Source organism: Homo sapiens, chromosome 10 (genome assembly GCF_000001405.40).
Source record: "Homo sapiens chromosome 10, GRCh38.p14 Primary Assembly".
Lineage (NCBI taxonomy): Eukaryota > Metazoa > Chordata > Mammalia > Primates > Hominidae > Homo > Homo sapiens.
This window is the reverse complement of record NC_000010.11, coordinates 87,433,621-87,460,101: the sequence shown is the minus strand read 5'-3', so window position 1 is coordinate 87,460,101 and position 26,481 is coordinate 87,433,621. Positions and strand designations below refer to the sequence as shown.

At 39.3% G+C, this 26,481-nt stretch overlaps 1 long non-coding RNA gene across 4 annotated transcripts in view, besides 1 other annotated feature; it reads right to left on the bottom strand.

The window, feature by feature from the left end:
- The window catches only part of LOC112268063 (uncharacterized), a 62,306-nt gene that overhangs the window by 32,328 nt on the left and 3,497 nt on the right, over positions 1-26,481 (bottom strand). The window contains exons 1-2 of one of the 4 annotated variants that reach the window (XR_002957093.1): positions 23,666-24,122; positions 10,573-10,626 (exon numbers count right to left, since the gene is read on the bottom strand). This is a non-coding gene — a long non-coding RNA (uncharacterized LOC112268063). Of the gene's footprint in view, positions 1-10,089; positions 10,627-11,288; positions 11,661-14,063; positions 17,140-23,665; positions 24,123-26,481 lie in introns of those variants that run through there. The other 3 variants (XR_002957090.2, XR_002957091.2, XR_002957092.2) reach the window with 3 other exon arrangements.
- Positions 23,676-23,970: an enhancer, noted in NCBI's record as "tiled region #7232; K562 Activating DNase unmatched - State 9:DNaseU". NCBI's record gives its function as "activates a minimal TATA promoter and a strong SV40 promoter by Sharpr-MPRA in K562 cells {active_cell/tissue: K562}" and the evidence as "EXISTENCE:reporter gene assay evidence [ECO:0000049][PMID:27701403]".

Here is a 26,481-nt window from a genome sequence, read left to right as displayed (position 1 = left end):
GAGTGAGCAAACTCCAGAATCCCATCCTTAGACTCAGGTGTATATAACTACTACTGCTATCAACTGTCTTAGATTGGGCTCTTGCAGCTGACCCTGAGAATTAGATTCCTGTCCAAGTGATTGCCTGAGGGAGTGCTCTCAGAAGAAATCTGAACAGCGAGGAAGGAAGCAGAATAGGACAGGAAAAGAAGCTGGGAAAGATATGGGTTTAGCTGAAGTCTAGCCTCAGTCTGATCCCACAGGGAGTTCTGGAGCCTCAGTTCTGTACACCCGTATCAATCAGTCATTGGCTGTGAGCTACCCACGGGGGAAGGCTGTTACCTTCCAGGCATTTTCTGAAATTGTTGGCTTGAATGGAATCCTCAGGGAAAGAGTGTGAACTATTAGCAGCCAACACTCTCAGCAGCTAAGGGATGAGTACGCCAGCTCATTGAAGAGATTCTGGACAGGACACCAACAGCATCTTCAGTAAAGATGTACTTCAATGGTAAGGACACTGAACCCAGAAAGAAGGAGTCACATGCAAGAAGAAATGGTGGACCAAGAAATGTATAAACATCTGGCTATATCTGAATAAGCACTCTTATACACAACAATAATGGGGAACAATGGCTAATTTGGAGATGGAGGGTATTTAAAAGGCAGAATTTAAACAATAAACATTAATAAGGAATATGGGGTAATTAGTATTGAAAGTTTCTAAAGCCCTTGTATTTTTGAGGTGAAGGGTAAATACATTAATTAAATTTAGATTTTATTATGTCAAGTTATACTTGTAAAAATTTAATGGAGCTCCCAGATGTAGGGAGTAAATTAAACACATGCATCAAATTTGGTCCTCCCCAAATCCAGTTAATTTGTCAGTGAATTTTTTTAAGTCCTGGGCCATGGGAAAATAAACAATAATAACACAATTTTGGAAAATTGGATGAGTGAGAAAAGACTTAGCAGAACTCCCAAATTAAAGTACTAAACCAGCAGCAGGAAAGCCAAGAAGCAACTTGTTTTACACTCAAGAGCCTTCAAGTGTCAGGAATTGGCAGCATCAGATTCTTCTGGAAGTGTGGTGAAGAGGAGAGACTAAAATGAGAATGATGCGTTGAAAGTTTATTTAAGAAGCAGTCAGATCACTAGATCCTTTCCAATCATGAAAAGGTACACTACCGCTTCTATTTCCCTTCTCTTTCCCAGGAAGCATATTCACAGGAGAGAGAGAACAGGTTTCCTGCTTGGGGATCCCAAGCAGGGTTGAAGTTGGGAGCACTGTACTGAACAAAGCCAGCTTAAGAAAATGCATGCATACTGAATGCCCACCTCTCTCTACTCCACTATCTCGCTTGACCCAGATCCAAAATAGTAGTAGCAGACTTTGACTCTTCTGACAGGAGATTGGAAGAATCTTACCTGATCAGTCCAGGAGGAAAACCTAAATGCAGTAACATCAGGGTTCCCTAACTAAGCTGTCCAGAACTTACCATCTTCACCAAAACAAGAAATTAAACCAATAAAGTGGAAGATCAGGGCAACACACCCAGGACATACACCCAGGTTGGGAGACACATGTAGGAGAGTAAGACAGTGAGGCCAGAATGATGCTGAGGGAAAGTCCCAAGATGACAGCTTTATGTCTTACGCATCAGGCATAAAGACCAATAGGCCATCAGAAGAATGAAGCATATTTTGTCAGGAAGATGAAAGCAATGCATCTTAGTAGCTTAAGAGAAGATTTAGAGAACTGGCAAATAATTTGGGATTAAATTAGTGATAAGTACATAGAAAACTAAGCAAATGGTAAAACAAGATAATTAGCTCCAGGGCAAGCAAAAAGCTGCTCAGGAAAGAAAAATTTATCATAGTTTCCTACATGGCTCAGCTGTGAACAGTTTGTGCATAGTTATATTAATGTAAATATATTGCTTGATATCAAACGCAAACATAATATGACTGTATTGTGAGGGCGTGAAGAGGAAAGAAGGCACATATATGGTGGGAGCAGTCATTTTCTAGAGTGGGAAGTCAGTAGATAATACCAAAAACTGGAAAATTGAGAAATATAAGAAATTGAGAAATGAATGTTTTTTAGAGACATGGAAGTAGATACCAACATGACCAGTAAAAGAAATGTAAATGATTGTTTCAGGGGAAGGAAGGAGGGATATAAGGCTCATGAGGAAGTATCTGATATTTTCAACTATGAGTTTTTAAAATTTTTGGTGAAATAAAATCTAAATATAAAAACAAAGATGGAATGGGAATGTAATGAAATATTCAACTAAAAATATTTCAATGGCAACTACTGAAAGAATGCAAAGAAAATATATAATTTCCAAACCAGTATGAGGAGAAAAAAGAAAAAGAGAAAAAAATAAAACACTTCAGTAATCCCTTAGAAAACAGGAAAGAAGAATGGAAGAAGCAAAGCAGAAGCTTGGTAATAAAGAAAAGAAAAAAAAAGTAAAAGAGGCTGAGCACAGTGGCTCATGCCTGTAATCCAACACTTTGGGAGGCTGAGGTGGGCAGATCACTTGAGCCTAGGAGTTCAAGACCAGCCTGGACAAGATGGTGAAACCCCGTCTCTACAACAAATACAAAAATTAGCCAGGTGTGGCAGCTCGCGTCTGTAGTCCCAGCTACTTGGGAGGCTGGGGTGGGAGGATTGCTTGAGCCTAGGAAGTAAAGGCTGCAGTGAGCTGAGATTGTGCCACTGCACTTCAGCCTGGGCAACAGAGCAAGACCCTGTCTCAAAGAAAGGAAGGATGGAAGGAAGGAAGGAAGGGAGGAAGGGAGGGAGGAAGGAAGAAAAAGGAAGGGAAGAGGGACGGAAGGACAGAAGAGAGAGAGAGAGAGAGAGAGTGAGATTCAACTAAGGTAACCAGGCAAGCTTTGGAAGAGAAGTGTAAGAAGAAGAAAGGGATTTTAAAGAATGTGTGGATAAGTGTGACAGTCTTCAGCCAAACAAACTGATTCCCAGCAGTCAAAGACAAGTACTCAAGCACTGCAGGGCCATGAGGACCTTGAGAAAAAGGAAAGGTGGTAAGGAAATCACTCAGAGTGGGCCCTGGGTGCTGGCCAATAGGTGGTGCTGTCTGTATGGACAGCAGTGTTGTCATCCAGGGCAGCAACACAGTGGAAAGGAAATCCAAAGCTTAATGAGCCATTCACATATAAGAACCTTTGCCAGCTAAGTGTTCATAATTTGAGAATTACATATATTTCAGTATTCATTATATGACTCAAGATTTCAATATTTCAATATTCAATCTACACAACTGATATGGTTTGGCTCTGTGTCCCCACCCAAATCTCATTTCAAATTGTAATCCCCACATGTTAGAGGAAAGGCATGGGGGGAGGTGACTGGATCATGGCGGTGGATTTCTCTCTTGCTGTTCTCATGATAGTGAGTAAGTTCTCAAAAGATCTGATAGTTTTAAGGTGTGGCAATTCCCCCCTTGCTCTTTTACTCTCTCTTGCCACCATGTAAGATGTGTCTTGCTTCTCCTTCACCTTCTGCCATGATTGTAAGTTTCCCCAGCCCTGCAGAACTGTGAGTCAATTAAACCTCTTTTTCTTTATAAATTACCCATTCTCAAGTAGTTCTTTATAGCACTGTGAAGATACAATAACCAACACTTATACAATACAATAACCAACACTTAACTAGTATTAATGATATACCCCTATTAAGCAAAAGGATTTCTTGAGTGAAGTAAACCCAATAACCAGTATTTCTTTTCAAAAACATCTATAAAAATACTAGGTTTCTATAAAATTTTCCAGATACCACTTGATAGTCATTCAATTGAACATTGAATATGCTTTGTCTCAATTTCCAACATTCAAGATAAATATTTTTTCTATTTTATTACCTTTTTCATTTTATCATTAAAATTATTATATCATATTTTTTCATTTTTAAAGAGAGAGTATTTCAGTAACTTTATAAATTAAGTAAGTTTTTGCTGGCCAATTTGGAAAACTAAACAACTATTTTAAAAGAGGAAAACGCACACCGGAATCAACAAGTAAAAATTGAATGTCATTTTTATTACTATTTTTACTTATAAGAATTATAGAAATATTTGGTTATTTCAATTCCCTATGTGTATAACTCATCACAATTTGATAAGGAGATAGGTTTAAGTGTATGTGTATATAAAAAGAGACTGAAAGGAAAAAGATAAGTAGTTATCTCTGATTGGTTGTTGGGATTAGCTATATTTTCCAAATACTCTAGAATGAATATGTATTACTTTTCTATTATTAATTGGGTTAGGGATTAAAAAAACATTAGACCTGTATGTTAAAGTTGAACCAGCATCGTCAGGAAGGATACAAAAATCACCTGCCAAACGATGTCCATTTCAATTTACTTTATGTCCTTTCTAGGACCACTGTGAGCAGTTGTAGGTACCTGTGAGAGTGCTCAATGTAAAAAACAATTTCTGTTACCCTAAATTGGGTTAATGATAAGTGTCTAAAGGAGATGTAGATCTAGCATATAAGACCTTCTAGATAAATTTAAAGATATCAGGAATGAAGGCTGCAGAGGAGTACTTTGGAAAAAAAGTTTAGTAATGAAAAGCAATATGAATTGTTTCAGAAATACCGTGACTTGGAGACATGGGAAGTGTATCAAACAGAAGTCGAGGACAGACATAAATGAAGTGACTTGCTTTCAATACGACAGATGTCCAAGACGGAAAAATGTCACCCAGGGCAAGAAAATGACTCAGGCTGGAATAAAGAAACTGGCTGCAGAGAGAATAATTTAATCAGGAAATCGAAGCCAGGTACAGTCGCTCACGCCTGTAATCCCAGTGACTCCAGAGCCTGAGGCAGGAGGATTGCTTGAACCCAGGAGTTTGAGGCTGCAGTGAGCTATGATTGCACCACTGCACTCCAGCCTGGGCAACAGAGTAAGACCTCATCTCTACCAAAAACAAACAAACAAACAAACAAACAAAACCCATAGGGAACCAAGTGGAAGACTTAGGATCTATTGTCTTCTTTTATCTCAAGCTGGTGGAAATAGCTCTGCATTTAAAGGTAGAAATAAGGATGGAGCAGATAGACAACCCAAAACTAAGAGTCATAACTATAAAATACCTAAATACATATTAATTTTCACCAAGCTAAAGTGAAAAATGAAATGTTCAATACTATCTATGCTGTATTTGTACGTATGGGATATGGTGTGTGGTGGATACTGGGCTGGGCCCTTGAAACTATGAGGCTAATAACACTGAGAAGGGAAGATGGGAGAAAAAGCAGTATGGGAGGTCTTAAAGTCTTGGTAACTTCAGAAATGTGCTAGGATTTGTGGGCAGCAGATATTTCAAAACACTAAGTAAAGAACGCTGGAGTTAAAGGCATGGAGCTTCAGAAAGTTATTAGCACTGATAGCCAACCACGGTGGTGGGTGCCTGTAGTCTCAGTTACTTGGGAGGCTGGGGTGGGAGGATTGCTTGAGCCCAGGAGTTCAAGGCTGCAGTGAGCTATGATCATATCACTGCACTCCAGCCTGGGTGACGGAGACCCCATCTTTAAAACAAAACAAAACAAAACAAAGATAAGAAGAAAAGAAAGTTACTGGCACTGAGAGCCAGACAGATGCCCAAAGTAAGAGCCCATTAAGAATTTCCACCATGAGATAACTGGAACAGTAATTTTCACATTAAAAATAGCTTTCTTCCTGCACTTAAAGGGATGGTTCGAGGAAGCAGATTCTAAAGGAGAGGTGAAAAAGAAGACATGCTCTGGATGTTTGGAGATACAGCTATAAGCCAACATCCTCGGCAAGCCCTGTACCACCCCAATGCCACCACTCCCTGTTCCAGTGGGTAGACATGGGTGGGAGCAGCATGAGTGATTACAGTTAGGGGGCTAATATCACCGTCTTTATTTCATCATGTCTCCAACATCCTGAGAAGGACATAGTGGCCACTATCCCTCAACCAAAGAAACTGATGAGTGCAGTAGGAACCTGCTTTGGAGGGTTCACATTGGGACTCATCAATGTGGAAGGTAAAAATCTGAAGATACAATTGAAATCTAGATAGCCTTGAATGGTATGGACAAGGAGACATAAAATCTGCTTACTAAATCAGAATAATAAGATGAAAGGTCAATAATAAGCATAGAAAGGTCAATAATGGAATAATAATAGTAGAGGTCATCCCTAGAAGGTTGAAAACATTTTCAAGTAAATATAAGAAACTCCTTATTGTACGTAGTAGTGCAGGCTGGAAAAATATACTTATTTAGTTCAAATCATGTGACAGGCACTAGGAATAAAGTTAGTCCCTGCCCTCACAGGGTTCAAGGTCTAAATGGAATAATAGATATGAAATAACTCAACAAGTAAATAGCTCAGCTGTTGGAAATCAAACAAGGAGAAGAAAAGAAAAAGGACATAGTGCTATAAAAGAAAATCTTTATAAAATTCAAAACCATTTAAAATATGTTGCCATTGATTTCCTTATTAACAGGTTTTAATACCTCCATCTTTCTCTAATAGTTTTCAGTTTATTAGAAACAGTATGTGAACTTTTTAGATTAAAAATTTCCAGCATAGGTTTATCACTTATTATATCCTTTTATTCCTTGAAATGGATGATTGTCAGGCAGAAATTTAGGACAAAGGAGCTGGAAAATATTCATGAGACTCAGGAACAAAGCTATTACTCCAACTGTAAGGTTTCATTATAAGCACGTAAATATAGTTCAAAGTTACCACATCTGTAAACTCAAAAATGCTGCTCACTTGGCTGGATCCAATCAATATTTGCTAACCATTATTTTAGTTATTCTTCATATAGACAGGCGCTTTGTTTCTTAGAAGAAATCACTGTCCATAACCAAAAAAAAACTTAATTGTGAAATGGTTTTATTTAAAACAGTCTTTTCTGGTTATTGAACATTTCATATGAATAAATTAATCTTCATGCATATGATAGCTTATCTGAAATAGCTTCCCAATTCTTTAAAATACCAAAGGCTTCTTTTCTCAGAATAAGGCATTTTGCCATCACGTGGTTTATTAGCAGAATAGGAAAATTAATCTTATTCTAAGCAAAAGCAGAAATATAATTAGCCAAACCAAGAAAAGTGTGACATTTGCCCATGAACTCTTCATTCAGATAATATATCTATTTTGGGAACTCATGAGACAGAAGCAAGACAAAAATATGAGAAGATATTAGGTTTCTCTAACTATTGTTCAAAATTAGAAAATGGATGTGGCTTTTATGTTGACTCTTTCAATACCTATATGAAGACAGTTAAAGGATGTATGAAATTAAAAAGCGACATCAGTGATTATTAGTAACTACTTCACAGGAAGCAAATGGGAGTATCATTGTAGTTAGTGGTATGTGAACGACTGATTGTACTGGTTTATCTTCATGCTCTCGCCTCTTCTCTTTAACTCTACGCAGTACATAGTATGGGATTATCTTTACCACATGCCCCTAGAGATTCTGTTTCACTTCACTCAGAACCTAGAAACCACTTGCTCCAAAACTTGAAAAATATTAAGAGCTGATGTCCCCAGACTGCTCCTCAACCTTGAACTCGAACCACTAAGCTCCAGGATAAATTCGTTTAAAATGATTGTGCTTAAATTTTCATGTGGGTCTAAATTTGCTGGGAGAGAAAGTCCTTTGTTTGTATTTTCGCATATTGAGAATATTTATCATGATTATTACACTGAAGAGCCTAACTATTCATTTACCCCATTTTTAAGATGTAGTAAAGACATTTTCCTCTGTGGAGGAAGCTATTGTGCAAGATTTTATCACGTGTTGGCGGAAAATTTGAGTGTCTGAATTTTGTTTCACACATGTGTTCAGCTTTGCATGTGTATTTCTGTGTGTATATAGAACATAGAAAAGAGTCTAGATTAGAAGATAATGTACTGACCACGTTCAAAGTGATTATTTCATCACGCAGGTAATAAGCATAGTACTCCATAGGAAGTTTTTTGATTCTCTCCCTCCTCCCAGCCTCCACCCTCAAGTAGGCCATGGTGTCTCTTTTTCCGCTTTTTGTGTTCATGTGTTCTCATGGTGTATCTCCCACTTATAAGTGAGAGCATGCAGTATCTGGTTTTCTGTTTCTTCATTAGTTTGCTTAGGATAATGGCCTCTAGCTCCATCCATATTGCTGCAAAGGACATGATCTTTTTCTTTTTTATGGCTGCTTAGTATTCTGTGGTGAATATGTACCATATTTTCTTTATTCAGTCTACTACTGATGGGCATATAGGTTGATTCCATGTCTTTGCTATTGTGAATAGTGCTGCAATGAACATACATGTGCATGTGTTTTTATGGCAGGATGATTTACATTCCACTGGGTATATGCCCAATAATGGGATTGCTGGGTTGAACGGTAATTCTATTTTAAGTTTTTCAAGGAATTGCTACACTACTTTTCACAATGGCTGAACTAATTTACATTCCCACCAGCAGTGTATAAGTGTTACAAAAGATTATTTATGAAGACAGAGATTATATGGGAGTATTCTTTTCTTTAGTATGTTCCTCTTTATTTTCTAGATTTTTTGCAGTGAGCATACCTTACTTCATGATGAGGAAAAAAAATTGTTATTCCTCCAAAATGATTGAGCACTTTGTATGTACACAATACTGCAATAAGTGATTACGGGAATTAAAAAAAACCTTTTTTCTTTTTTGGAGCTTTCAATATTCACAAATAAGTTGACGCTATGTGATAATATTTGTATTGCCTGTTATGTATCAGATACTTCTCCCATTTAATTTCACATACTCTATCTCCTTTAATCCAAATATAGAGAATACGTGTCAATCCACTCCATGTTATTGTAAATAATGTTGACAATGCACATAGAGACGCATATTTTATAATAGTAAGTTACAAACACAAGGTAAAAATAGGCAGACAGAAAGCTATGCATAAAGACTAAATGGAAAGCAGTCTAGATAGTGATAATTTTTTTCTACCTACTAAATTTACTAGTAGGAGCATGTATCCTTCCCATAATGAGAGAAAAAATGAACTTTTAATGATTTTTAACATATATGACAGCCATGGAACAATTCTGTGCTAACTTTGGGGTACTTATGTGCAGCATATTGGACATTTAGTGAAAAGAGAGACCACTGTGAGATGATGAAGCTGGAGAAGGCTTCAAGAAGCAATGCAGGGCTCCCTGAGTACTTTAAAGGAAGGGCAAGTTTCTTTAAGAATGTGGAAGGAGGACAAGGAGGACGTTATAGAAAGAAAATAACTTGTACAATAGCAACAAGAACTGGTCCATTTATAAAACAGGAGCTTGCTCAGGTGGTGGCTATGAGGATTAAGTAAGTTGGTGCACCTGGCATCATGCCTGGATGAAAGGTGCTCAGGAAATATTAGCCATCATGATGATGGTGCTGGTGAGAATGGAGAAGAGGGATGAATTCAAGACACAGTCCAAAGGACTAAATGGTAAACTTGTTCACAGTCTGGTTCCTTGAATAGAAATAAAAGTGCCAACTAGGCCTTCATTGTTTCTCTCCCAAGACAGCAGAAGGAGAGTGCCCGTGTCAGAAGGGGAACAGGCTGGGGAGCTGGGCAGCAGGGGTAGGTGATGAGACAAGTTTGGGACACTCAGAGTTAAAAGTTTGGGAGGTAAAGGAAGTGTGGCCAGTGAGGCGGAGAACACAGAGGTGGCATCAGAGAAACAAGAGAGGGAAGATTTTTCAGGGATGTCATCAACTCTTCAGCCAGCGGAATGCAGGCGGAGTTGAAGAAGTGGAAAGAGAAGTCCCCCAGTGCTATACTAATTGTGTCACCAATTGAAGCACCCTGCTTTCCCTATTCTTGCATCTAATTGCAGTACGCTACCATGAAACCAGTTCATTCTGTGCTCAATTTGCTGTTCTGCTTAAAGGGACTTAAACTTGATACCTGAAGGCCAACTGCTACGGGCCATTACATTTATTTCCTTCCAGGCATTGTATGTAGATAAGCAATTAAATGAGGGAAAAGAAGTTGAGAGTCATTTATCATGGAGAAAAAAAAAAAAAAAAACCATTGAACAAGGCTGTACAAGCAAACCTATTTGGATTGAAGAAAACATAACGTTTAATTCTCAGAAACAAATGCAAGCATCGGTCCAAGTCTTCCTTCCCAAACCTTTGTCATTTAGGGATTGAGAAGCTGAGTTGGGTGAAAGGTTGAATAGAAAACAAAAAGGAAAGCTAGAAACACGCTGAGCTCATGGAGATGCAGCTTCTTCTGTAGCTCCTAAAGCCCAGCTGAGGTATCATCTAATGAGAATTCTCTCTATGCCAGGCACTGCGCTAAGCATTTCACATCATTAAGCAATGTGAGTTTTAGGCAACCCCGAAGCAGGCAGTCTGTTCATCCCAATTGCAGCTGAGGAAACAGGGTGAGTGAGGCCAAGCAGCTGGCCCAAGGTCCCCTGCCTGGTAAGTGGCACAGCCTGCAGCCCTGCCAGGTGGTCCCGCTAACCAAGCCGGCGCTTTTCTGTCACCATGCCGTATCGCCTCCTGTACTATCAAAATGTACTATCAAATTTACCTCAAAAGAAAACCCTCTGTCTTCTGAGAAGCTCCGGAAGGTCCAACACGTTGCCTGCCAACAGAAAAACATGAAGAGTTAAAAATTAGCTATCGTACGTAAATTATTAGCCATTTACATTGTATGTAAATTATGTTTCATTAAACTTTAAAAATTAGAAAAAGATTTTCTTCTGGTAGATTTCCTTAAAAAAGTGTTACCTTTAAGTTTTACACTTAAGTGACCCATGTTATCTGTTTTAATGAATAATTTTCCTAATAGAAAATTATTATGTGGAAGACGACGACGGTAGCGGGTGGCAATTTAGGATAAAAAGTGATCAAGTGAACTCAGGACAGCGAACTCTTTCTAACTGTGCACAAATATAACTGTCTATTCTCTTCCTGGTGGCATCAACTCAAAATTTCAGTTCATTCATTTATTCAGCAAGTATTTATAAACCAAATGAACCATATGAAATCGCCATTCTTGTAGGTTAAAAATGGTCATATGTGGGTAATTCCAAATAGTTCAACCTAATATGAAGAACCCTCTGTGTGGTAGAATAGATAATATCATGGGAGCTGGGAATATAGTGTTGCATAAATGGACCAAGGTCCTGCCTTTATCTTGCTACATTCTGGTGGTCTAAGACATAAACAAGCAAAAAGATACATTAACAAAATTATCCCAAATTGTGATAAGAAATAAACAGGATAAAATAATTAATAACTTACTTGAGGTGAATTGAAAGCTACACTGAATAAAGAGATCAGAAAAAGTAAGGTGGATGGAACATCAGAGGAAGATCATTCCAGACAAGGGGAGAGGCAGGTTGAATGTCCATGAAGCAGATTGAAACTCCTTAGCAGGGCCCTGCTGAGTGAGGGGACTTGTTATTAGGGGAGTTCAGAGAAGTAAATGGAAGTGAGTTTTGTAGGGCTTCAAGGACCCTGACAAAGAGTTTGAATTTTATTCTAAGTTAGAAGAAAGTCACTGAAGGCTTTTTGCCTAAAGAGTTGACATGATTCAGTTAATGTATTAAAATATAACTTATGGTGACGGGTACAGTGGCTCAAACCTGTAATCCCTGCTAGTTGGGAGGGTGAGGCAGGAGGTTTGATCCCAGGAGTTCAAGGGCAACAGAAGGAGACCTTGTATCTTTTATATCTATATCTATATCCATCTATATCTTATGGGTAAAGGAAATATTCTATATTTTTATCATAGTGGTTACATGACTGAATTTATTTGTCAAAAGTCACTGGAATGTATACCTAAATATGTGAATTGCTGCATTTTACTCTATGCAAATTGTACCTCAAAAAACCTAACCAAAAACAAACAAATGAAAAGATAACTCTGAGCTGAAGCCATTAAAAATTATTTATCTGGAAGGTATTGGTATGTCTTGTTTGTTTGTTTCCTTTTGGTGGTATCATTTGTTGAACTCTGCCTGCTTAAACTCTGCACATGTATTTTTTTTGTAAAATTAAAATTATATTTTATGAAAGATAACTCTGGCTACTGAGTGGAGAGGAATTTATAAGACAGCAAGACTAGAGACTGGGAGACCATTTAGGAGACTATGGCAAGAAATGAGACTATGGCAAGAAATAGTCGTGGTGGTGATAGTGGAACTGAGAAATGGGAATAACATTAAAAACATAATTTGGAAGTAGAACTGACAAGACTTACTGATGGGTTGGATGTGGGCAGAGGGGGTAAAGAAAAAGAAATCAAGGATGACTTTTGGGGTGGGGGTGTCCACATGGACAAGGCATGGTTGAAAAGAGGGAACAAACAGTTCAATGAAGGGTTTGTTTTGGACTTTAAAATATTTGAGGTGGCTATTTATTATTCATCCAAGTGGAGGAGTCAAGAAGGAAGTTGGACACATAGGCCTGCAGTTGAAGGAAGAGTTGAGGACTAAATCTGTATGTCATCAGTATACATACGATGTCTTAGTCACTTTGTGCTGCACAATATTACAGACTGGGTAATTTATAAATTATAGACATTTATTTCTCTCAGTTCTAAGGGCTGGGAAGTCCAAGATCAAGGCACCAGCAAGTTTGGTGTCTGATGAGGACCTGGCATCTTCTCACTGTAGCATCCTTACATGGGAGAAAGGAGAAGAACAAAAAGAGCTTAGCTAGTTCCCTCCATCCCTTTTATAAGGTTCTAATTCATTTATACAGGCAGCTCCCTCACGACCTAATCACCTCCTAAAGGCCTTGCCTCTTGACAATGCTGCATTGGGGATTGAGTCTCAATATGAATTTTGAAGGGGACATATACATTCAAACCATTTCACATGGTATTTAAAGCCTTGGGCTGGATTGAGATAGAAGACCAAGGGTAAAGAAGAGGGCCCTATAGCACTACAAATTTGGAAGACTAGTAGGGAAGGAGGATCAGCCAAGCAGGGAGATCCACATTGTCTGTTCCAAGAGGTATATATATTTAACCCTTTGAGTGTTGAATCTGTGAATTAGTCAGTTTGGCTGCCATAACAAAACACCATAGACTGGGTGGCTTAAACAATAGATATTAATTTTTTCACAGCTCTGAAGAGGGAAGAGGAAGATCAGGGTGCCAGCGTGGTTGGCTTCTAGTGAGTGCACTCTGTGCCTTGCAGACAGCTGCCTTCTCACTGCACGCTCATGTGGCCTTTCCTCGGTGCTTGCCATAGAGAGAGCTCTCTCTCTCTCTCCGTCTTTTTATGAGGCTACAGTCCTATAGAATTAGGGTGCCACCCTTATGACTCCTGTAGCCTTAGTTATCTGCCAAGGACCCTATCTTCACATACAATCACACTGAGGATTAGGGCTTCAACGTATGAGTTTGCCAGGGGAGGACACAATTCAGTTCATAGTAACCTGCAAGGAGACATATCAGGGGCACATTCTTGTCACACGGCCAAACTTCCATTGCAAAATGACTACATTACAATGGATCTTTATATGAGTGTCTAGCATATTGTTGCAATTATTTGATGAACTATCATTTTGAATTTGTTCAGCTGCACTTGTGGAGGAGGAGGGGTAGGAGATGAAAAAGAAGAAGAGCATCGATTATGTACTCACTCTGTATCAAGCACTGTTCTAAGTACTTTTGCATGCATCACTACTTCGTCCAGTTTTTATGATAACCCTTTGAGGTAGATATTTTGTTTTACAGATGAGGAAACAGAGGCCCCAAGAAGTTAAATAACTTGCTTAAGATCACAGAGCTAATGAGTGGCAGAACAATTATTCTAGCTCTGATTTTAAGGGATTTACTTAACTTTTACTTGGAATTCATGGAGTCATTGGGCTTTATTTAATAAGTATCTCATCATATTCTAGTTATATCATCTCCTATAAGTGTTCAAAATTTGACAAAATTCAGATCAAAGGTGTTTTGGGGGCATTTTGGTGTCAGAAGCCATGAGGCCATTAAAACTCATGAGGGCTGCTTTAGTTTCCTAGGGCTGCCATAATAAAGGAGCACAAACTAGAAAGCTGTACCTCTGAAATCAAGGTGTAAGCAGAGCCGTGTTTCCTCTGAAACCTGTAGGGGAATCCTTCCTCTCTTCTTAGCTTCTGGTGGTTTTATAGCAAGCTTTGACACGTAGTGAAATCTGACACAAATTAAGTACATAAGAAGCTGTTCCTTGGTTTTCAGCTGCATAACTCCAGTCTCTGTCTTCATCATTGCATGGTCTTCTCCTTGTGTGTTTCTGTCTTCACATGGCCATCTTCTAATAAGGCCACCAGTCATATTGGATCAGAGGCCTACCCTACTCCAGTATGACCTCATTTTTATTTAACTAATTATATCTGCAATGATCCTATTTCCAAATAAGGTCACATTCTGAGATACTGGGGGTTAGGAAGATATGTTGAAGAGCATGTCTTTTTTTTCGGTGGGGGTTGGGGAGGATACAATTCAACCCAGAATTCCAGACAGGGGCTTTGTGGATAGAGTTTATAATCTTAAGGAAGCACATCCCTTATTTCATCTCCCCTTTTCCCAATCCTAACATCCACAGAAAATTTCCTGCCAGCAGTTCCTTCCTTGGGTTTAAGGATTCCCCAATGCCAGATGTTAAGTCTGCTAGGAAATCTGTAGACCACAGGGAAGAAAATGCAAAAAGAAAATAAAGTCCTCAAATGCAGCTAAAAATTGCTAGCTTCTATTTTTAAAATAAAGCAACATAATACTTTTTCTTCCAATTTATCTACCTTCAAAAGTCCCAACAAATGTTGTTCGTAGTACTGAAATCTATCATTTCCCTTTATTTTTTCCATTCTTCAAATTGAGCTATTAAGTCAAATGCTAATTACATGAAACATTGTTCTCTGTTAATAAATGTTTTGAGAAGTTCTGCCGCCTCAAATAAACAAATAAAACATTAAGTCAGTGTGGCATTTCAGTTGAATAGGGAAAAACTAGATTACTTAATAAATGGTACAGCAATATTTGGCTAACCATTTGGGAAAAAATAAAATTAGATGCCTACTTCACAAATTAAATTTCAGATTTGTTAAAGATTTATATATAATTAAATTAAAGACAGATCCTTAAAATTCAATAAAATTTTAAAAATTGCAAAATAAAATATGTGGCTATTTAGTGTATTTGGGTATTGGGAAGTCTTTTGACTAGTTATAAACACTAAGATATAATCTACAAAGAGATAAATCAACTTACAAAAAACTTAAAACTTCATGGATATATAGAAAGCAGCACTATAACATGGAAAAAGGAAAGATGCATACAGTATATGACAAATAATATGTTTATATTATGCATATAAAAACACTTACAAATAATTTGCAAATTAATGTTCCAACAGAAAAATGAGAAATAATTTTAAAAGGCAATTCACAAAAGAAGAAATACAAATAACCATTAAACATATGAAAAGATGTTTCTTTTTACTTAAAAAACAAATAGGATCTTTCAGGCCTCTTTCAGTTCTAACACACTGTGATTCTGAATACAAAGGTTTCAGTTGGAACATTTTTGCATAGATTTGCCCTTGAACTGATCCTCCAGTGCAAAATACTTTAATTGCTAACGTAAAGTTTCATAAAAGCACATAAATCTCATTTATTATAGTTCTAATATGAAAATCTGGATCTCTTTAGAACCAGCTTTATTAGGATCTCTTGGCTGCATATGTCAGAATCTCAACTCAAACTCTCTTATGAAAAAAATTCAGCAGATGTCTACCACCTCCACACATTCCTACATCCTTAATCTCCCTGTGTTTTAAAACTCTAAATGAGTTCTCTTAGAAATATAAAGGCAAAGACACCTCATTCTTCTCTCTTGCTGAGTGGAGAAGAATTAAATTCTCATACTTATAAGTCGAACAGCTTTAAGTAGAATAGACATGGAGGGCCAGCTAACCTCTCCAGCGACTTCCTAGTAATTTAACTTTTCAGTTCCAGAAGTTTCTAGAAGAAAACCCCATTCCTGGCTTAACTCAGCCTATAACCTGAGCCTCTAGTTGCATCTCACTGAAGCACCATAAGAATAGCAACCATGTGTTTAGAACAGCAACCATACGACAGCAACCATGTGTCATGGCTTATTCTCATCAAGCCTCCAGGTTGTAGGGAGCTTCGGTGATTATATTTTTGTTTAACAGCCCTCTCACCCACCCTCCTCTTGGGTTCCTTGGGTAATCACTCCCTCTCTTTCCATGTGGTCCAGGCAAACCTGTCAATCACAACATCTTCACCACCTTCCCCTTGCCAAAGGCTTACAACCCAAGCCAGGCAATCAGAATGTTCCTAGGGTTGGATTAATTGTTGTTAGGAGAAAGGCACTTTTTGCCATGGAGCAGGCAAACTCAGGATGAGAAGCTGGGCTACTGGTGGCCAAAGAAAGTGATTTCTCACAGGAGAAGTTGAGGAAAGAAACAGGGAGGCAGGGCCAGAGATGATGAGGGAGACAGAGAACTCCGTAAACAGGAGTACCGAAGTTTGTTGTAGCCCCGGACTTCCCAGATGTGTAAGACAATAAATTCTCTTTTTGCTTACTAGCTTGAATTGGGTTTCTGTCATTTAAAACCTAATGGCTCCAACTTGTGGGCACTTCTGACTTACAGGGCAGCTCCCACAGACCTCAGTAGCTTTACCAGTCTTCCTTGTCTTGTGAGCTACCATCTTCTACTCTTTTGGGAGTGTGCGTGCATGCTTCGGATTATCAAATGATTTCAATGACAACAAAGAACTGATTGTAGTTTTGTTCTTCCAAAAATTCATCTTTCACTTCCAAAGAAGTGAGATGTATTTTACACACACACACACACACGCACACACGCACACACACACTGCATTTCTGTTGGGTCCACTGATTCATGAATTTACCCTGACACTAAACATTCCTTTCCATTCTAGTTTTCAATACAGAGCCAGTTTCAGCAAGCTTAGAATAGCAGGTTCTTTGCTGAAAAAAATATTTTGTTTCAGGCAAGTTCTGTCAGTTGATGATTGCTATATTACAAATTACCCCCAAGCTTACCAATTTTTTTTTTTTTTGAGACGGAGTCTCGCTCTGTCGCCCAGGCTGGAGCACAGTGGTGTGATCTCGGCTCACTGCAAGCTCCGCCTCCCAGGTTCACACCATTCTCCTGCCTCAGCCTCCCGAGTAGCTGGGACTACAGGTGCCCGCCACCACGCCCAGCTAATTTTTTGTATTTTTAGTAGAGATGGGGTTTCACCATGTTATCCAGGATGGTCTTGATCTCCTGACCTCGTGATCCACCCGCCTTGGCCTCCCAAAGTGCTGGGATTACAGGCGTGAGCCACCGCGCCCAGCCAAGCTTACCAATTTTTTTAAAAAACAAATGTCATCTCACAGTTTCTGTGAGTCAGGAGTCCAGGAGCTTCTTAGCTGGGTGGTTCTGCCTCAGAATCTCTTACAAGACTTCAGTCAAGGTGTTTGCCAGGGCTGTAGTCATCTGCAGCCTCAACTGGGGAAGGATTTGCTTCTGCACTCACTGCCACGGCTGCCAGCAGTCCTCAGTTCCTCACTACGTGGGCCTCTCCACAGGCTGCCTCACGGCATGGCAGCTGGCTTCTCCGAGTGAGGAGTTTAAGAGTGAAAAAGTGAGCACGCACCTCCCAAGACAGAAGCCACAGTCTTTCAATAACCTAATCTCAAAAGTGACATTTCATCCTTTCTGCCAGATCTATCTGAGTCCTTATGTCCAGCCCACACTAAGAAAAGGGGAATGTAGCTCCATCTCTTTGGGAGAGAAGCATCAAATAACTTGTGAATATATCTTTAAAAATCACCTTACAAGTGGTGGCGCTCGCTTCCCCAAAGAGAATCTGAGTTCTTTCTAAAATACCAATCCTTTGTTAAAATGAGATGGAGAGTAGATGAGGGAATGCAGCGGCAATAGGGAAGACAACTATTCCAGGCAGAAGAGAAATGCTGTATCATCCACACACATTCCTCAACATACCTAAAGCTACCTTTAATGGTTTTAAGTAAGAAAATGGCTGAGGGATTTAAAAATCTTTACTGGGAATTAGAAAGCCCCTAGCAATACAACTCAGTAAACTGGCATTAAGATACAGCCATGCGATTATCGTGGATGGGAAAACGGCAAGATTGTAACAATCTGCAAGCATGTTGATTGATCAGAGTTGCAAAGTACTATCAGCTGGCCGATGGCATACACAAAGTGCAGAGGAGCTCTCAACTCTGTAAGAAGAACAATGCCGGAGGAGTAGAATAGCTATCCTTAGCCCAGGTGCTCACTGCCCCTGTCACGTATGCTCATGCCACACCTGAGATACCGGGAGGGCAGCGTCTTGTCCTATGTCCTCCCATTACTTTCATTCCCAAAGTATTTCTGCCTATAGAGCTCTTCCGGCCTCTAAACTCCTTCCAGCTGTGTCCAACCTTTTCAATGCAAGGACTATTTTGCTTATCTGTGGTGGTGGATATCATGAAAACTATGCATGGACCTTTTTTTTTTTTTTTTTTTTTTTTTTTTAGGTCATCAGCTATTGTTAGTGTTAGTGTATTTTATGTGTGGCCCAAGACAATTCTTCTTCCAATGTGGCCCAGTGCAGCCAAAAGGTTGGACACGCCTGCAATACTTAGTAATGTATATCATTCATGTGGTGATAAATATATTCAGACGAAGAATAATTCTTTTTTTAAAATGTAAAATCACAATTATTTGATGTTTTTCATTTGTGAATGCCTTTTACACGTAGTCCCTACATTTAGGTGCTTTGGATGCATGACTTTTCACTAGACCAGTGGTTCTCAACCTTGGCTGCACATTAGAATCACCTGGAAGTTTCTTTCCATTCCAAGATTCAACACAGAAATTAATAGAATACTGAATCAATTTCAATGAACTAAGAGTGACAATTTTTACTAAAAAACATTTACTTAGCAAGAAGCCAAGATTGACTGTTGTTTTAGAGTCTTTCTACTCGAAGTGTGGCCTATGGACCAACAGCATTCTTATCAGATGATAAGTGAACTGGGAGCTTGTGAGAAATGCAGAATCCCAGGCCCCACATCCAAATTATAATTTGCATTTTAACAAGATTCCTGGGTGATTCATACGCCCATTAAAATTTGAGAAGCACTCATTTAGACTTTCCCATTACCCTTCTCTTTATCACTCTGAATATTCTCCAACTTCCTATCTAGTGACCACAGAGGGTACTGACAGATTACAGCTTCAAAGCATAACCAGGATCAATAGAATACATTCATTCTTTCATTCCAGAAAAATCTATTTAGATGTAGGGCCAGTGCCTATGCTTGTGCAGACTGTGCACCACATCTGGGAAGTACTATTCACAATGTAGAAATTTTACATTTGGATTTTATTGCTACACCATTTTCTAGCAGACGGCAGTACCGTGTCTTGCAACAAAATCAATACACATAAGCTTTGGCTGAATGGAAGTTAAGTGCTTGAGGAAGGAATGTCTTTTTTCTATTCAATGGCCTATAGGCTAGATGTCATCTTAATGGGAGCCAGGACCTGGCGACACAGCAGCAAACCAGAGAGGCCAAATTATTAACTATTTCCCACTTAATACAATTTGTTTATTAGTTTTTATGCAAAATTATGGTATGGTAGTTTTTAAAAATTCAATGTATGTGGCATATTTTCCTTCCATTGCATACGATATAGCCTACAATTTTAATGTTTAATATACAAAACACAGCTTGTGTTTTTTTCCCTTCACAAAGTTTATAACAAATCTTGGAGCGCAATCTGTAATTACAATACATCGTATGCAGAAATTCCAGCCACTTTCGAGCTTTATACTTTATGGTGTAGTTTCCAAGTACACGTTATAGCAGAAGTGAAAGAAAAACTCTATTTTTCTGAATATTCTATAATTCCTGTCATCAAGTGCCTTGGATGTGGACATTAGAGATCAGTCAATATTTGTTTTAAAACAGTATTTTCAACTTCTTTTATATACTTTTCTGTCTCTCTCTCTCTCTCTCTCTTTCTTTTTTTCCCTAATGGAATGCTCTGTCCTGCTTGCCAGTTTTGGTGCAGAGAAGCCAACAAAGATTTATAAATAGGGATGCTCATGACATCATGATTTATGACAGGTAAAAACAGGAAGCATTTTAGATTTCAAACAAAAGGTAGTTGATCAAATATATCACTACACATCCAAGTAACTAAATAGCACATTTATTAAAAACGATGAGTCTAAAGAATAATTAATATCATAGGGAAAACATTTATGTAAAATGTTAAGCAAAAAGTTTTAAGAGGTTAAAAGGAAAAAAAAAATCAGGGTGCAAAACCACATACATAGTGTAATCTGAATGTCCCTGGCTCCTTGCTACTTAGCTAGTCTACGGACTAGCATCATAGCATCACCAGGAGCTTGTTGGAAATGCAAGATTTTAGGCTCCACCCTAAAACCCACTGAATCGGAATCTTCAGGTGATTCTTAGGCACTCGAAAGTCTGAGAAGTATCACCCAGGCCGTATCAACTTCGGGGAACAGTGGTCAGTTTACTTCTACAATTTGAACCAAAGTTCATTAGCTCATTAGCACCGACCTACCTAATGCAGGACCACAGTCCCCCTCCAAGACACATCCAGTGTCTTAGGCAGGTATCTATAAGTATAAACTCAGGCACTGGGGTGGTGGCCTTACCTGTCCCTCAAAATCCCCAAGGGGGAAATGCTGTTTGATACAAATGATTATTTGAAAATTATGTCAAAGAAAGGGGGATCTATTTCTTTTGCCCTGGCAATCCCTCATTAAATATGCCTTTTATGTCATCTCTGCCCATTCGTTTTCCTTTCGGCTTCCTCCTATCCCTCACACATGCCTCTCCTCTCTTACCTGAGAATCCTGAGAGAGTCGAGGAGGAAACCTGGTATTCCAGAGTTAGGAGAAACGACTGTGCCCTCATGTACCATGATGGATACTATCACAGAAAGCAACATGCATGCTCTCCCACCATCCACACTGGGACGTGAGCATCACTATCCCTTTATCATCCCAATGGCCACTTTGCTGCAGCACCAACCTTGCTGATGTGACCCATTCTGGTCCACTGCTGGTTAAAAACTCCCCTCTGACCACTGCCCACATGGTTGGATCAGTCCACCGTGGACCCAAGAGGTGACTCTCACTGCTTTACACTGCCATGTGGGACTCTATAAGGTCACTACTCTCCTGATAGGCATGTGGGATCTGCAGTGTGGGATCCCCCATGCCTACCGAGAAGGAGAAATGGGGGAGGATATAGGTTTAAGTAGAAATTAGACAAGGGATTGGGACTAGAGAACATTTCTCCTGAGAGTTTTCAAGGAAAATGACTTGCCTGGTTATGTTCAAGCATAAAGTATATAATACAATAGAAAACAGAGTAATAGGAGTTAGGAAACGTAGTGTCTTGTCTTGGTTCTTTGTGTGACCTTGGGGAAGTCATTTTCAGATGCTTATTTTTCCCCTTTTGGAATGCTGGGTAAAAATAATTGCACAGTCCATCTCCCAATTCTGGTTAAGTTCAAATGAGATGATGTTTGGAAATGAGCTTTGAAATCCCTTAGGTGTAGCATTAGCACCAATAATATGCAGCACCATGGTAAGAAAAAAAGACAGTCTGTTCTTTAAATTGGCCTCAGAAAATTTCACACCTGGATATCTGGTGGAACCTGCAAATTGGTGTTGTGTATTTTAAAGTCAAGAGTAACCTTGGAGACTGGTCTAGATTGAAAATCAACAGTACATTGGAGAGTGATACACAGCTCCTAGCTGGTAGGGGAAATTGAGGGCATCCAGAGTGAATAAAGTGTTTATTGCGGTGGAGTGAGCAGGGGGGAGTAGCATTATGTTCTAAAAGCATTCAATAAAAGAATAGCCACCTTCCGTTTTCTCAAACATCTATGCAGGTGCTTAGATCCCAAATATGGAAGATTTTGCATTTCACAAGGTATCTTTCATTCTACATAGATTTGTAGCAAAATAAAAATCATTATACATTTTAATGGCTTTGTTGATTTGGTTAAATTAGCTGAAGGCATTGTTGACTGCACATAAAATCCATTTCTCAAAGTTCTTTAGCTTTTTGACCCTTTCATCAATTCTTCTTCAGTTCTGTCATCATTCTTTCCCTCCTCTTTCAATTTCCTATCTAAAATGTTCCAAAATAATTATAAAAGTCAGAGAGGCATGATGAACCTTTTTATTGGAAAGAGATGAACCTTCCAAACTCATTCTCAGCTCATCATCACAGCATTTGGAATATGGAGTAAAAATTCGTATTTTGCAAGTGCCTTGGTGCTTAAGCATGCAGAACAGATGTTTCATTTCACAAGTTTTCCCAATTTATGACACATAATATCTCTATTTCTGTGAGACAAACACTGCTTTGGGGAATAGGCCTTTCCATTTCCTCCAGCAAGCTGATGCATGGAAATGGACTGTTGAGTCACCTTCTAGTCACCTCAGGAGAGGAGATTTTTCAAATGCTGTTTGTTTATTTTCATGCAAGGTCATCAAGGGGAAATAGTCACAGTCCCATACTCCTTACCAAAGGCCGTCACTTCTGCACATGGCATTTCTCTACCTGAAATGCATTCAATTAAATGCACTCATCCTTGCTAGGCCTGGCTTGATTTCACATCTGTGACGGATTCCTTGATGAACTCGACACTGAGTGGTTTCTTCCAATAGCTAAATAATACCTGATGATGACATTATTTTCATCATTACCATTAGCAACTTAGGAGGGAGAAAGGTGGTGTTGGGCAGGGAAGTCACACTAACCTCACCTTTCCCTGTTGCACTGTAAATTCTGAGGGCAGGGGTGGCTTGCACAGTGCCTTTCATATGATTGGTGTTTTAAAAACGTTGCTTGGTTGATTACATAGGATAGTATTGCTGCTTTGGTAGCCTAACTTTGCTCCTACACTACAGCCAGAAGAGAGGGTGAAGAAGAAATAAGAAAATAAAAATCAATCCTAAAGAAAGTGGTAAGGAGCAAAATAGGAGTTATTGGGGAAGCACAAAAACCTGAAGCAGATAACCCTCAGGCGTGAAGGCCTATTTCTCTCCTGGTTTACACACGCACCCACCTCCGTTTCTCTCCTACTTCTCCGCCACCCCACCTCAACCAGGAGGCAATTCCCCAACCAACCCTGAATATGTCTTCTAATTTCATGTACTCAATAATACCCAAACCATTTAATCTCAGTCACTGCTGGTGGGAGCGGCAATTGACACGACCTTGAAGGGAAAGCAACTTGGCAGCAGATATCAAGAGTTCTAAAAAACATTTATACTCATCTTCTCCATAATTCCACTTCTGAGCTGTATCCTAATTTTTAAAATCTTAAATATGTACAAAGATTTATGCCCCCAGAGTTTCCAATACAGGTTTATTTATACAGAGATAGGAACAGTGCAGCAGTCTAGCATCAGAAGGAGTGGCTAAATTATGGGATGAGTCTCTCACTGGAATTTTTCTAAAGTTATTTTAAATTATGTCTTAAAGGCATTTAAAGCTTATTTTATTTTTAAATGTTTTTAAATTAGCATGCAATAAAATTGACCTTTGTCTACACAGTTCTATGAATTTCAGCACTCACATAGGGTCAGGACCGAGTTTCCTCTCACAAGACTCCTAGCCCCACCTTGAAATCACCGGACGCGCTTCGTTGTCCAGGAGCCTTCTCGAAGCGGTGGGACGTCTCCGGAGGTTGGGTGGCCCGGTCAGTCCGCGGCACACAAGGACCTCTAGGGGGCAGTGTTGTCTCACACCACATGTTCCTCTACCGGGCTTTAACACACACCCTTAAACTCTAACCCAGCCAAAGCACTATTGCGTCTGTATTTTCCAAATACTTTACAATGAGTATGCACTACTATTACAATCAGAAAAAAAATATTAGATTACTAATAAGCTATTGAAACTGGGGGAGATAGCAATATAAAAATACCCACTCATGGAAGACACTGCTTAAAATAGAGAACTAGCCTCTGTTCATAGTCTGGTTTCAAAGCCCAAAGTTACGTTTCCTTTTGTTAGATTGCTAGATGATATGGCTCGGACTTTAATTCTCCATGTTTAAAATAGCATTTCTGTATTTAAAATAGCATTTCAATAGCACTTTTAAAACTTCTAAAATCATTTCTGTAATACTCTTTTTTCAGTGAGAAATAGAACAATGCTTCTTCCCTCTCTATTTTAGAGATAGCAAAGCGCTAAAAGAGATGAATTTGTGTTAGAACATCTATATATTAATTCAGAATATTCTAATAAGCAAAAGGATATTGCTAACAATTTGTATGCAGCAAGGCATAAGTTTTGGAGTCTTCTCAATTTAGCTATTCCACTTATGCTAGTTCACCCACTCCCTTCCTGTGACGGGTTCCCTAGTGATGAATGGGGCATGTAGATTATCAGATGAGTGGACAGGAAGGAAGACAGTCTAGAGTGGAAGATAAAGATAACCAACCCATGATGGAACCAACTCAGAAATCAACCCCACCAAGAGAAAACTTTATTCATGCACTGACTATTTATGGAACACCTTTCACTTGCCAAGCACTGTTCCAGGTGCTGGGGATATAGCAGAAAACTGCATGTCAAAATTGCTGCTCTCATAAAGTTCACATTCTGGGACTCTAACCCAGCCAAAGCACTATTGCGTCTGTATTTTCCAAATACTTTACAATGAGTATGCACTACTATTACAATCAGAAAAAAATATTAGATTACTAACAAGCTATTGAAAGTGTCTCCCACTGGGTGGGAGACAGCTAGGAAAAAGAAATAAAGAGGAAAAATATCCTCTTGAAAGTTAAAATAGGATAGAGACGGATTGGTGGGGGCTACTTTAGACTGCGGAGTCACAGAGGACCTCTTTGAGGAAGTGGTAATTTAAGATGAGATCAGAATAACATATCCAGCCTTGAGAAGACAAGGGGGTGGAGGGAGTGTTCCAGGGAAAGGAGACACCTTATACAAAGGCTGGAACAAATTGAATGGGTTCAGAAAACAAAAGGAAGGCCCAGAGTGACTGGAGCGTGGCATTTAGGGATGAAGGTCAAGTCAGAAAAGTATGTAAGAGTCTGGTCAAGTAACAGTCTCGTAGGCCAAGGTAAGGAATTTGGGTTTTATTTTACTGCAGTGAGAGATATAGGAGATTTCACACAGAGGCGTGAAATGGTCTGATATAGGTTTCTAAGAACCATTCTGACGGCCATTAGAAAGTGCAAGTTTGGGAATATGGCGATCACTGAGAAAGCTATGGGACCGTGCATGGTAGATCATGCCTGTAATCTCAGCACTTCGGAAGGCCAAGGCAGGAGGATTGCTTGAGGCCAGGAGTTCAAGACCAGCCTGGGCAACACAGTGAGACCTCATCGCTACAAAAAATAAAAACATAAGCCAAGTGTGGTGGCATGTGCCTGTAGTCCCAGCTACTCAGGAGGTTAAGGCAGGAGGATTGCTTGAGCCCAGGAGTTCAAGACTGCAGTGAGCTATGATTGCACCACTGCACTCCAGCCAGAGCAGCAGAGTGAGACCATGTCTCATATAAAATAAAATAATAAAATTCAAATAATAAAATAAAACAGAAAGCTATCACAATAACTGAGGTCAGGTGTGATGAAGTGTGGACCAGGATTATGGCGGTAGAGATGGAAGGTAGCTCACAGAGTCATGACATCTTTTGGAGAAGGAGCTGTTGGAATTAGCTGTATTATTAGATGTACATGGTTGGGGGGAGATGAATCAAAGCACGATTCCTAGCTTTTTAGTTTGAACAACTGAAAGGATGGTAGCTCCATTTCCGGAGATGAGAGGACTGAGGAGATCATGATCCGGGGGGAATATTTGGTCTTTAACATGTGAGCCCATTGGACGAGCATTTGGGTAACTTCAGTCTTACTCCTCAGCAGCTGCTGTTGGCAGGGTGTGGTCAGGTAGGCTGGCACTGTGTCTGAGCAAGCCAGCTCTGGTCTGATAACAGAGTTTTATCTGGAAGGGGAAACCCAGGGCTGGGCTTACGATCTAAGGTCAGCAGCCTGTCACACCAAGAAATAAATGTCTGTTAAGGCAATTGGTACATAAGCACTCAGAAAGTGTAGCTTGTCAAAGTGGCTTAATTCCAACTAGGTTGTTATTACTCAGTTGACACCTCTTGGGAGAGTTTTTTGATATTTTCTTTAACTCTTTAGTGTTATACTTTATGTATATTCACATGAATTGAAAACAGGTTCAGTTAAAAGGGTAATTAAAAATATAAAACATTTTTTAAAAAAGAAAACAGGGCCAGGCACGGTGGCTCACGCCTGTAATCCCAGCACTTTGGGAGGCCGAGGTGGGCACATCATGAGGTCAGGAGATCGAGACCATCCTGGCTAACACGGTGAAACCTCGTCTCTACTAAAAATACAA